The following is a 13,662-nucleotide window of genomic DNA, read 5'->3' on the forward strand; positions in this document are numbered from 1 at the left end:
TGGTATTAGTTCTTCTTTAAATGTTTGATAGAATTCAGCAGTGAAGCCATTAGGTCCTGGGCTTTTCTTTACTGACAGAGTTTTTATTACAGCTTTGAATTCATTACTTGTTATTGGTCTATTCCAGTTTTGGATTTCTTCATGGTTCAATCTTGGTAGGTTTTATGCATCTAGGAATTTAACCATTTCTTCTAGGTTTTCAACTTTATTGGCATCTAATGATCCTGTGAATTTCTGCAGTATCAGTTGTAATGTCTCCTCTTCATCTGCAATTTTATTTGTTTGGATCTTCTCTTTTTTCTCAGTTATTTTGGCAGAAGTTTTGTCACTTTGTTTAACTTTTCAAAAAACCATCTTTGTTTCATTGATCTTTTGTATTGTTTCCTTCTTTTTTATTTCATTTATTTCTGCTCTGATCTTTATTATTCCTTTTCTTCTACTAATTTAGGGCTTGGTTTGCTTTTGCTTTTCAAATTCTTTAATTTAATTTAATTCATTAGGTTGTTTATTTGAAGTTTTTCTTCTTCTTTGATGCCAGCACGTATAGCTGTAATCTTCTCTCTTGGTACTGCTTTTGCTGTATCTCATAGGTTTTGGTATTTTGTGTTTCCTTTATCATTTGTTTCAAGAAGATTTTCAATTTCCTTCTTATAATTTCTTTATTGACCCACTGGTCATTCAGGAGCATGTTGTTTAGTTTCCACGTACTCGTATGGTTTCCAAAATTTCTGTTGTTATTGATTTTCAGTTTTATTCCATTGTGGTCAGAGAAGATGCTTGATATGATTTCAACTTTTTAAAACATTTTAAGACTTGTTTTGTGACCTAACATATGGCCTATCCTTGAGAATGATCCATGTGCTGAGGAAAACAATGTTTATTCTGCAGCCACTGGATGAAATGTTCGTAAATATCTATTAGGTCCATTTGGTCTATAGTAAAAATTAAGTCCAATGTTTCTTTGTCGATTTTCTGTCTGGAAGATCTGTCCAATGCTGAAAATGGAGTGTTGAAGTCTCTTAACTATGATTGTATTGGAGCCTATCTTTCTCTTTAGCTCTAATAATATTTGCTTTATATCTCTGAGTGCTCCGGTGTTGGGTGCATATATATTTAAAATGTTATATCCTCTTGCTAAATTGACCCCTTTATCATTATACAGCGACCTTCTTTGTCTCTTCCTATAGTTTTTGTCTTGAAATCTATTTTGTCTGATATAACTATTCTTACTCTTTTTTTGTTTCCATTTGCATGGAATATCTTTTTTCTTCCCTTTATTTTCAGTCTATGTGTGTCTTTATAGTTATCTTTATTTGTGTTTCTTGTAGGTGACAGATCAATGGATCTTTTCATTGGGTACATTTAGTCAATTTACATTCAATGTAATTATTGATAAAGAAGTACTTACTCCTGCCATTTTGTTATTTGTTTTCTGGTTGTTTTGTGGCCTTCTCTTCCTTTTTAATTTTCCTCCTGTCTTTCTTTTAGTGAAAGTTTTTTCCTCTGGTGATATAATTTAGTTTCTTGCTTTTTATTTTTTTGTAGCCATCGTATGTTATTATGTATGTTACCGTGAGGCTTGCAAATAGTATTTTATAACCCATTATTTTAAACTGATGACAACTGAATACTCATTGCATAAACAAGCAAAGAGAAAATGAATAAAAGCTCTACACTTTAACTTTATCCTCCCACTTTTTAACTGTTTGTTGTTTGTATTTATATCTTACTATACTGCCTATGTCTTAAAAAGTTCTAGTTATTCCTTTCAATTGTTTCATCTTTTCATCTTTCTACTTAAGGCATGAGTAGTTTACACACCATAATTACAGTGTTACAATATTCTTTGTTTTTCTTTGTGCTTACTATTACCAGTGAGTTTTGTAGCTTCCGATGATTTTATATTGCTCATTAATGTTCTTTTCTTTCTGACTGAAGTACTCCCTTTAGCATTTGTAGTAGGATAGGTGTGGTGTTGATGAAATCTCTCCACTTTTGTTTGTCTGGGGAAGTCTTTAGTTTTCCTTCACGTTTGAAGAATATTTTCACCAGATACACTAATCTAGGTTAGTTTTCTTTTTCTTTTAGCACTTAATTACGTCATGCCCCTCTCTTCTGGCCTATAAGGTTTGCACTGAAAAGTCTGCTGCCAGACATATGGGAGCTCCATTGTATGTTGTTTGTTTCTTTTCTCTTGCTGCTATTAGGGTCCTTTCTTTATCCTTGACCTTTGGGAGTTTGATTATTAAATGCCTTGAGGCAGTCTTTTGAGTTAAATCTGCTTGGTGTTCTATAACCTTCTTGTATTTGATATGGGTATCTTTCTCTAGGTTTGGGAAGTTCCCTGTTATTATCCCTTTGAATAAACTTTCTACCCGTCTTTTTCTCTACCTTCTCTTTAAGGCCAACAACTCTTAGATTTGCCCTTTTGCAGCTATTTTCTAGATCCCGCAGGTATGCTTCATTGCTTTTTTATTCTTTTTTGTGGTTGTTTCCTCTAACTTTGTATTTTCAAATACTCTATCTTCAAGCTCACTAATTCCTCTTCTGCTTGATCAATTCTCCTATTAAAAGACTCTGATGAATTCTTCAGTATGCCAAATTCCAGAATTTCTGCTTTATTCATTTTAGTTATTTCAATCTCTACTAAATTTGTCTGATAGAATTCTGAATTCCTTCTTTGTGTTATCTTGATTTTTCTTTGAGTCTCCTCAAAACAGCTATTTTGAATTCTCTGTCTGAAAGGTCACATATCCGTTTCTCCAGGATTGGTCCCTAGTGCCTTATTTAGTTCATTTGGTGAGGTCATGCTTTCCTGGATGGTCATGACACTTGTAGATATTTGTCTGTGTTTGGGCATTGAAGAGTTAGGTATTCATTGTAGTCTTCTCAGTCTGGGCTTGTTTGTACCCATCCTCCTTGGGAAGGCTTTCCATATATTCAGAAGGACTTGGGAGTTGTGATCTAAGCTGTATGTGCTTTAGGGGCCACCCCATGCCCAATAATGCAGTGGTTCCTCCAGACTCATAGAGGTACTGCCTTGATGGTCTTGGATAAGATTTAGAAGAATTCTGTGGATTACCAGACTGAGACTCTTGTTCTCTTTCCTTACTTTCTCCCAAACAGAGCCTCTCTCTCTGTTCTGAGCCACCTGGAGCTGGCAGTGGAGTGACCCAAGCACCCTTGTGGCCACCACCACTAGCACTGTGCTGGATCAGACCCAAAGTCACCACAGCATTGGGTGTTGCCCAAGGCTTACCATAACCAGTCCTTGGCTGCAGCTTATGTTCGCTTAAGGCCCTAGGGCTCTACACTTAGCAGGTGGTAAAGCCAGCCAGGCCTGTGTTCTTCCTTTCAGGTGGTGAGTTCCTCCACTCCCCACGCAGGTCCAGAAGTGCCATCTGGGAGCTAAGAACTAAAAGCAAAAACCTTAGAATTCTACGTGGTATTCTAGTGTGCTGCGGCTGAGCTGGCACTCAAGCCACAAGGCACAGTCCTTCCCACTCTTCCCACCCCTTTCCAAACAGAGAGGAGCCTCACCCTGTGGCCACACTACCATAGGCTCATGAGGAGTACTGCCAGACTACCTCTGATGTTCCTTGAGGGCCTAACAGCTCTTCAGTCAGCTTGTGGTGAATGCTGCCTGGTTTGGGACTCACTTTTCAGGGGAACAGGCTCCCCTCTGGCCCAGGGCAGGTCCAGAAATGCCATCCAAGAGCCAACTCCTGGAATTGGGGACCCTGAGAGTCCTCTTGGTGCTCTATCCCCCTGTAGCCAAGGTGGCACCTAAGGTGCAAGACAAAGTCCCCTTTACTTTTCCATCCTCTGTTCTTCACGTGAAAGGCATCTTGCCACCTAGCCACCAGATTTGGGAATAGGCTGAGTCTCACCTGAAGGCAGCAAGTCTCAGAGGCTCACCCAAGGCCCTTGCCATGATACCTGGCTATTACTGCTGGTTATTCAGGACCCAAGGACTCTTTAGTTAGGAGATAATTAATCCTGCCAGGAGTAGGTCCTTCCTTTCGAGGCAGTGGGTTCTCTTCTGGTCTCAGGTATGTATAGAAATGTTGTCCAGGAGCTACAGCCTGGAAAGGGGACCTCATGACTCTGACTGATGTCCTATCCTGCTGTGGCTGAGCTTATCCAAGATGCAAAACAAAGTTTTCCACATTATTCCATCTCCTCTCCTCAAGTGGAGGGAAAGGGTCTCTTTTGGAGCCACAAGCTGTGCAGCCTGGGGTTAGGGGAATGGTGATGCCAGCACTCCCTTAGCTTCCCCTGACTGATGTGTCATTAGGTCACATGCCCCGCTTAGCCCACTATCACTGTCTCTGGGCCCAGTTCAGCATTAGGGCTTGCCTAGGAGTTGTAGTCCCAGTGGCCTAGACTGCCACTGTAGCCCATGGTGGCAAGGCTTGCGGGGAACTCAAGTTTAGACTGCTGGGGGTCAGTGATTCCCCTCTGTTTAGGGCTGGATTAAATGCTCCCTCCATGGGTGAGCATCAGTTAAGTTTCATCCAGTTTTTTTCTTTTATAATAGGACAGCACTGAGCTCAGTGCCTCATAATTACTGCACTCTCTCTCTCCCCAGTGCACAGAAAAGCTCTCTGCACCATGCCACTGCTGTCACAGGATGAGGGAGGGGTGGTGTCGGTGATTCAAGACTGTTTTACCACCTCTTCAGTGCCTCTTTCAGTGATATAAAGTTAAAACCGGAGCCTAAGACCTAAAATCATAAAAACCCTAGAAGAAAACCTGGGCAATACCTTTCAGGACATAGGCATGGGCAAAGACTCCATGAATAAAACACCAAAAGCAATGGCAACAAAAGCCAAAATTGACAAATGGGATCTAATTAAACTAAAGAGCTTCTGCACAGCAAAAGAAACTATCATCAGAGTGAACAGGCAACCTACAGAATGGGAGAAAATTTTTGCAATGTATCCATCTGACAAAGGGCTAATATCCAGAATCTACAAAGAACTTAAACAAATTTACAAGAAAAAAACAAACAATGCCATCAAAAGTGGGTGAATGAAATGAACAGACACTTCTCAAAAGAAGACATTTATACAGCCAACGGACATATGAAAAAATGCTCATCATCACTGGTCATAACAGAAATGCAAATCAAAACCACAAGGAAATACCATCTCATGCCAGTTAGAATGGTGATCATTAAAAAGTCAGGAAACAACAGATGCTGGAGGGGATGTGGAGAAATAGGAACGCTTTTACACTGTTGGTGGGAGTGTAAATTAGTTCAACCATTGTGGAAGACAGTGTGGCAATTCCTCAAGGATCTAGAACCAGAAATACCATTTGACCCAGCAATCCCATTACTGGGTATATTCCCAAAGGATTGTAAGTCATTCTACTATAAAGACACATGCACACATATGTTTATTGTGGCACTGGTCACAATAGCAAAGACTTGGAACCAAGCAAAATACCCATCAGTGATAGCCTGGATAAAGAAAATGTGGCACATATACACCATGGAATACTATGTAGCCATAAAAAGAATGAGTTCATGTCCTTTGCAGGGACATGGATGAAGCTGGAAACCATCATTCTCAGCAAACTAACACAAGAACAGAAAAGCAAACACTGCATGTTCCCACTCATAAGTGGGAGCTGAACAATGAGAACGCATGGATACAGGGAGGGGAACATCACACACTGGGGCCTGTCAGGGGGTGGCGGACTAGGGGAGGGATAGCATTAGGAGAAATACCTAATGCAGATGACAGGTTGATGGGTGCAGCAAATCACCATGGCACGTGTATACCTATGTAACGAACCTGCACATTCTGCACATGTATCCCAGAATATAAAGTATAATAATAATTTTAAAAAAACAGGTACTGTGAATGCTCACCTGATTTTTTGTTCTTATGAAGGTGGTTTTTTTTTGTTGTTTTTTGTTTTTTTTTTTTTTTTGGCAGACAGTTGTTAGATTAGTGTGTTTGCAGGGGTTGGGGGACAATCGGTGGAGACTTCTATTCTGCCTTCTTGCTCTGCCCCTTACCAATCCTGTACCTTGAATTTTTAAATGCACCCTGATATTTCTAATTGCCCCTTAATTTCTAAGCAAAGTTTGACAATAACTGGTGTAGAGTTTTTTTAATTTTCTTGAATTCTTGGAGGGCCAGACACAAAGTGCTTGGTTCAATGCTGAGTGACTCTACTGGCTGAATGTTGCTTTTCAATAATAAAATTGCCTGGGACCCACTCCTGGTAGTTCAGATTCAATTAGTTTAGGGAAGGGCCCAAACATCAGAATATTTCAAACCTCAGCTAATTGTCATATGCATCCAGGTTAGGACTCATTATTTAAGATATTGCAAGAAGGAATTGGAAAAACACCTTTAATTGTCATAGGAAAAATAGACATAGCTTACAGGGAGAAAATATGATGGTTCTAAATATATATATATATAGGGTAGCAACTGCTTGCCTTGGTATTTTGTAATAACAAATCTAACATTTTGGTAAATGATGGTGGGAACTGAAATAGCATTAAACACGGGGTTGGATTACCACATCCACATTTAAACCTTCTTTTAATCTACTTATTTTCAGAGTTTAAAAATAGCACAATGTTTTGAACATAGTGGATACACAGTCAATATTTAATGTCCTATCAGATAAAGGCAATATTATAACATTCCTGGGATAATTTCCATACTGAAGTAATAAATGAGGATGTATTATAATATAAAGCATTATATATTATGCAACCAGAAACACTTATATTGCACTTTTAAACTAGGAGAGAAAGTTATGTCATTCTTAATATAGTAATCTATCTAAAACCAGCATTTAACAACATAGTTAATAGGGAGACTAGAGGCATTTATATAAAAGTCATTATGAGGCAAGAATACTCATCATTATTGAATATTGTTATGGTAGTTCTACTGAATGCAACCAGACTAGGGAGGAAAAGGAGTAAAGGGCTTAACTCTTGGGAAGGGAAAAAAGATTGTTATTTGCAGATGATATAATAGACTGCCTAGAAAATTAAAGAAAATTAGTTGAAGATCTGCTAAAACCAATGAAAAAGTCCACTGTGAATATTACATAGAAAATAAATATGGACGAGTATTAATTTTCCTATATATCAGGAGGTGCAAACTCAAATGTCTTTAAAAGATAGGTAGGTAACCTAAATGCATGATCTCTCCTTGTGTGAGCAATATGCTGTTCACAATAGCAAGAAAAATATAAACTAGCTGACTTAACAAGAAACACACAGAGTCTTTATGCTGAACCTATGAAAATTGAGCAAATAAAGAAATATATAGTGTGTTTTTAGATCACTTGGAGAACAAACAGGCGATACTAGCCAGGAATGTTTAGAATAATGAGTGTAAGAAGGGAGAACTTTGGCTATCCCTATCAAATATTAAAATGTATGTGATAACTATGGCAATTGAGATGGAGTCTTCTATTTCTGTTTTACTTGTTTACTTGTTTGATGAAAGAATAGGTAGATCATTAGAACAGAAAATAAGAAACAAAAACATAGGCAAGTGTAGATAAAATTCTAGCCTATGTCACATTCATTCATTTATTTAAAAATAATGCTCTAAGCACTATTCTAGTCACTGAGGATACAACAGTGAATATGGTAGACAAGAGTCTGTTTCTCTTTGTATTCTGATTGGAGAGACAGACAATGCTCTTTTTCTCTCTCTCATATACATGCATATATATATTATATATAAGATATGTATATAATATATATAATACATAAGAAAAATAAAGATAATTCATGTAGGGTGGTATAATTTTGACTTGAGGAGGTGACATTTAATCTGATAAGTGAATGGCTAGAAGAAGTGAGCCATGCAAATGCAGGGGAAAGAACCTTTCAAAGAAAGTATCAGGCTTGGTGTAGTCAAGAAACGGAAAGAAGTATGGTGGAGAAGAGTAGGCAAGGGGGCGAGAATATGTGAGGTTGACAGGAGTTAGATTTTGTAGGACTTTGTACCCAAGATAAAGAACTTGGATTTTATTTTTTAAGTATAATAAAGAAATAATGGAAGGTTTTAAAGCAGAGGAGTGACAGTCTGACTTGTCATTTATAAACATCACTCTGGTTTCTATTTGTAGAATGAACTACAAAGAGCCAGTATGGAAATGGCCAACCCAGACAGGAGCCTATCAGAGTAGTCTGGGAAAGATGAAAGTGACCAGGATAAAGTAGGGGTAGTGAAGTTGGAAGGAAGTGAATTAATTTGGGATATGTTTTGGAGGAAAAGTCAAAAAGATTGAATTGGGACACTGAAGAAAATAAAGGAATCACGATAATTCCTAGTTATGGTCTAAAAGAACTGGGTGCATGATACTAAGAAGACTAGAGAAAGACCAGGATGGGGGTGGGTGTGGGGAATCAAAAGTTTCAAATATAGTAAGTTTTAGATGTCTATCAGAGATTTGAGGAAGTAACAAGCAGGCAGTAACCTATAGAAATCTGGTGTCCTGGCAAGTTGGGCTTGAGATATCCATGTTGGGCAATAATCGATGATTATATTTAAAGCCAAGGCACAAATGAGCATGTTAGGGAGGCAAAGGAGTCCTAAAAATGTGCCCGCATGCTGGCATTTGGAGGACACACAGAAAAGGAGCAAGGCAGCAGGGGAAACAGGAAAAAGATAGCTGGGGTGGCTGGAGAAAAACCAGACAGGTATTGAAGCAGACAGAAGGAAGTAGTTCAGGGAAGGGGTAGTCAATTGTGCTAAATCCTGTGGATAGTTGAAGCAATATACAAACAAAATAGAGAGCACTACCTAGCTTGAAAAGAGCAATCTTGGTGAAGCTGATGGGTATGCAATACCTTTTAGAATGAGAGGCAAGGAGGTGGAGATAGCTACTTTTGACAACCTTTTTAGTGTCACTGAAGTGACATTTCAACCAATATTGTAATAGAAAAAAAATTACTTCAATTTGCTAAAATCAGTTCAAACCAGCAGGGAGAATGATCATTTTATAAATGACCTTGGTATAATTTATTAGTTATTGGAAAAATTAAATAATTGATTAAAATTTTAGGAAAAAAAGAAAGTAATACTTCAAAAAGATAAGAAATCTGTCTCTAACTGGTAGTATAATGTGTATTTTCATTTTGTAGTTATACATTTTTCTAATTTTTCCATAATATACTCTTGTTTAATTAAAAGAATCAATGTCTTTTTTAAGAAAACCAAACAATTTTAGCAAACCTCTAGGCTCAAAACCAAATTAAATCAATTCAGTGCAACAGACTATTGGCTTTGCATCAGGTTCCTACCATCTGGAAAGGTGTGCAATATAAGAATGTCAAGGAAGATATATAACACAAGGTGAAGCAAGGTGAGTCTTCCAATCAGAGCACAAGGCACCTATGAGAAGTCAAAAGAAGGGCTTATAACTCCTGGTTCCTGGTCAGAGTTTCAGAGTAAAACTCTGAAAAAAAGAAAATAACTTGAAAAGGGAAGGTCATGGTGACTGGGTCATCATGAGCAACGTTACTAGAGTGGTAAGGCAGAATCTGTACCTTCTTAAGTCACTCTGTGGGAGAAATCCACAGGACATGGTGAGCAACCCATGGTTACCACCAAGAGCTCTTCAGTGAAGTTAGAAATGGAGAAAAATCCAAGAAGCTCCCCTTCCTTTTCCCTCAGGAATGCCTACTCATCAATTAAATAAAGAATAGCTAAGTAACATGTATAACCAGGATCTCTAAAGTGTGTGTGTCTGCATGTGAATGTCTCAATCACCACAGGAAATTATAATCAGCTGTTCACAGCCCTGAATTCTTTCTGGGTCTTGTGTCCAGTGCTCAAGTAGCTTGTCTGAGTCCAATTAGGGAAGGGTTAGCTCTGATTAAGTTTAAAGAAATGTGGTTAGTGAAAGAAGCCACAAAATGAAGACTTCAGAATGGAGACACCACTCCTCTCTGTTTTACATGGTGCCTGTTATTGCTGTGGGTTTTGGAGATTCACTGGATTGGTCTGTTACTCATGGTAAAGTCCACCTGGTATAGCATGTTGCAAAGATGAGAAGGATCTGAATTTCTGCATCTGACTCAGTGGAAGATGGAGATACCTCCTTAAAATTGAGGCAAGTATTCTCTGAGTGGAAGGAGGAATAAAAGGAAAAAGAAAGTATTATTCAGAATTCTACTTGTATCTGACACAGAAACAGTGAGTTTAAGGCTATTGTTAGCCACTGTCTCTGGTTCCCCACATAGTCCTTAGGCTAGTGGTGTAGAGGAAGTGATCTGTTGTGGAGAGGGTATATATGACTGCGTTGCTTCTATCAGGAAGCCATGAAGTTGCCAGGGTATACTTAGACCCAGAAAAAGATTTTTAAATGTCAGTGGCATTACTCACATGTCTCTTCTGGCTGTCTCAGTGCGTTCTTCACCCTCACACAGAGATTGACACGTTTCCCATATCCCTGGTCAAAAATAGAATGTCCTTCTCATTTCAGCTCTGAAACACTCAAATGGTGTGTCCCAAGCTTTTGCAGTCTTCTTCAATTCATAACCCAAAGCCAATACAAGCAAGGTGTCTGAGTGCTTTTAATATGTGTATGTACTTACAACTCTCATTATATAAATTGTTTTCCCTTGAGATGCTTCTCATTGCTAGAAAGTCCTGCTTTTATGCTTATATTTCTCTTTAAACTTTACTTTTATGCCAACAGATGATGTGCTTGACTCTATTTTCCATTTAATGTTAGGATATTGGACTCTTGGCAAAGCATAATGAGGGGCCCAGTTCACTCTCAGTTTAAATGCTAAGATAATGTACTTCTGCATAAGATGAAAGAGACACCTATCCAATGGCTGCCCTTTAGTCTGACTGTTCTGCTGCCTGTAAATCATTTGGGTATGGACAGATGGCCTCTGTTTGAACCAAGCACTCCCCTTCACTAGCTATCATCTTCTTCCCTCTTATTACCCTGGCTAATTCTTATTCTGATTCCTGATATGCACCTTAGGCTGTCTCTGTTTGTTGGACTTATTCAGAATTTTTTCACTGACTCAACAGCCTTCCTCTTCTCTACCCACCCTCACCTTCCTTGAGCTTCCAAGGAGAATGGCAAGCTCATTTGTGTACTTCTAGAGCAACCCTGTCACAGAGCTAATGGCTACCAATGAACAACAAATTAGCAGATGATGCCTGCACTTGATGGCTGGATTTGGTCAAGCCATTGTTTGCTACTTTTAAATAATGTTACATGGTATTGTTTTTATACTCAGTTATTAATGAGTCCTTCTTCACCTCGTTCCTCCATTCTTCCAGTTTCAAGATGATTTGTGATGAAGACTTTTCTCAGCTCCTTTCGGAGAAGACCAAAGTTAAGAATTCAGACTTAATTGGTACTTGCCTTCATAGCTTCCACACTCGCTTTGCTCTGTCATTTTCATATGGTGCCACAAATTCCCTCCCACCTTCTAGGGCACAAAATAATCTCTTATTGTTGGAGAAACTCAAAGGATACTCTATGAATGTCTATTTGGGATTTCTAATTCTTACTTTACATTTGATCTACCATATTTTTCTCTTTATTTGGGCAATCTTTGCTTTTTAAACAATATATATTTTTAAAATTACAAAATAAATGCATTTGTGATAAACTCAGAAAATATAGAAAAGGTCCAGTGAAGGGACATAGAATCATTTATAATCTCCCCATTTATTATTAACTTTGACTTATATCTAATATATTTTCTATCTAGTAACATAATTACAATCATATTTTATACACTGTATCTCTTTTTCACTCAACAATCCATTATTATTTCCCCATAGTAATAAATATTCTTTATAATATTAAGAATAACATAACCTTCTCTCCTAGTGTAAGCACTTTCTTTTTAATTCAGGAGTGGATTCTGAATGTTATCACACATCTTTTTCATTACTATTGAGATGTGTGCTCTGGTTTCTTCCAGTAATCTATTGGCATAAAAAGCAATATCACTAGTGGTAAGAGTGTCACTCTATAGCCAGACTTCCTGGATTCAAGCCTGCCTCTGCCCTTACCAATTGTGTGACTTTGAACAACTTACTCAATATCCCAACACTTGAACTTTCTTATCTGTAAACGAGGCACAATAATGGGACCCATATAATTTATTCTTGTGAAAATTGAATGAATATATGAGCAGATCTTAGGATACCACCTGACAAAAAACCAGAACAATGTGTTTGTAATTGCTTCTCAATCCTGAAAGTAATTTCACTTTGTCAAGTACTCTTAATATACTGCAGAGTTATCTCATGTTTATTTAGAACTGGGAATGATCTCCAGTTTTTTCATTATTCAACTTTGTTCACATTTGGCATCAAAATATATGGTCTTTTAAAAATGAAGTTAAAAGGGAAGTTTCATTTTATTCCCTATGCTTTCGAACAATGAAAAAGAACTAGAGAAGAACAAAGTCAGAGGACAAACACTAGCCAGCTTCAAGACTTCCCGTAAAGATATAGTAATCAAAACAATGTGGTATTGGCAAAAGAATAGACAAAGAGATCAACGAAACAGAATAGATTACCCAGAAATAGACCCACAAAAATATATTCACCTGATATTTGACAAAGAAGCAAAGGCAATATAGTGGAGAAAAGATAATCTTTTCAATACACCATGCTGAAACAACAGGACATCCAAATGCAATGAACCTAGACACAAACCTTACAACCTTCACAAAACTCAACTTAAATGGATCACAGGCCTAAAGGTAAAATGTAAAAGTATAAGTCCCCTAGAAATAACATAGGAGTAACTCTAGATGACTTTGGGTTTGGTAATGACTTTTTAGATGCAGCACCAAAGGCATGATCCATGAAAGAAATAACTGATAAGCTGAACTTCATTAAAATAAAAAAAAATTCTGTTCTGTAAAATACTGTCAAGAAGATGAAAAGGCAAGCCACAGACTGGGAGAAAATATTTACAAAAGACGTATTTGATAAAGGACTGTTATCCTACAAGGCACCTATTCAACAATGAGAAAATAAACAACCTGATTTGAAAATGAGCCAAAGACCTCAACAGACATCTCACTAAAGAAGATATACAGTGGGAAATAAGCATACGAAAAGATGTTCCACATCATATATCGTCAAATAAATGCAAATTAAAACAGCAATACAATATCGCTACACACCTATTATAATGGCCAAAATCCAGAACACTGACAATACTAAATGCTGGTGAGGATGTAGAGCAACAGGAATTATCATTCACTGCTGTAATGAATACAAATGCAAAATGGAACAGCCACTTTGGGAGACAGTTTGGTGGATTCTTACAAAACTAAACATACTCTTACCATGGGATCCAGAAATTATATGCCTTGGTATTTACTCAAAGGAACTGAAAACTTATGTCCACACAAAAACTTGCACACACACGTTTATTGCAGGCTTATTCATAATTTTGCAAATATTTGGAAACAGCTAAGACATCCTTCCGTAGATGAATGAAAAATAAACTGTGGTACATAAAGATAATGGACTATTTTCCAGTGCTAAAAAGAAATGAGCTACCAAGCCATGAAAAGACAAAGAGAAAACTTAGGTGCATATTACCAAGTGAAGGAAGCTCATCTGAAAATGCCACATACTGTATGATTCCAACTATATGACATTCTGGAAA

The 13,662-nt window shown here is 37.6% G+C and overlaps 1 protein-coding gene across 9 annotated transcripts in view; it reads right to left on the reverse strand.

The window, feature by feature from the left end:
- Positions 1-13,662, reverse strand: part of SEM1 (SEM1 26S proteasome subunit) — a 228,221-nt gene that overhangs the window by 145,232 nt on the left and 69,327 nt on the right. For 3 of the 9 annotated variants that reach the window (NR_163950.1, NM_001393904.1, NM_001393901.1), the window contains one exon: positions 10,383-10,449. The exons of the other annotated variants lie outside the window; for them this stretch is intronic. Coding sequence is in view for 2 of the 3 variants with exons in the window: in NM_001393904.1 (NP_001380833.1) it covers positions 10,383-10,449 (67 nt within the window). In the remaining variant the exon portion in view is untranslated. The remainder of the gene's footprint in view (positions 1-10,382; positions 10,450-13,662) is intronic. 9 annotated transcript variants of the gene reach the window in all.

The sequence above is a fragment of the Homo sapiens genome, chromosome 7, assembly GCF_000001405.40.
Source record: "Homo sapiens chromosome 7, GRCh38.p14 Primary Assembly".
Lineage (NCBI taxonomy): Eukaryota > Metazoa > Chordata > Mammalia > Primates > Hominidae > Homo > Homo sapiens.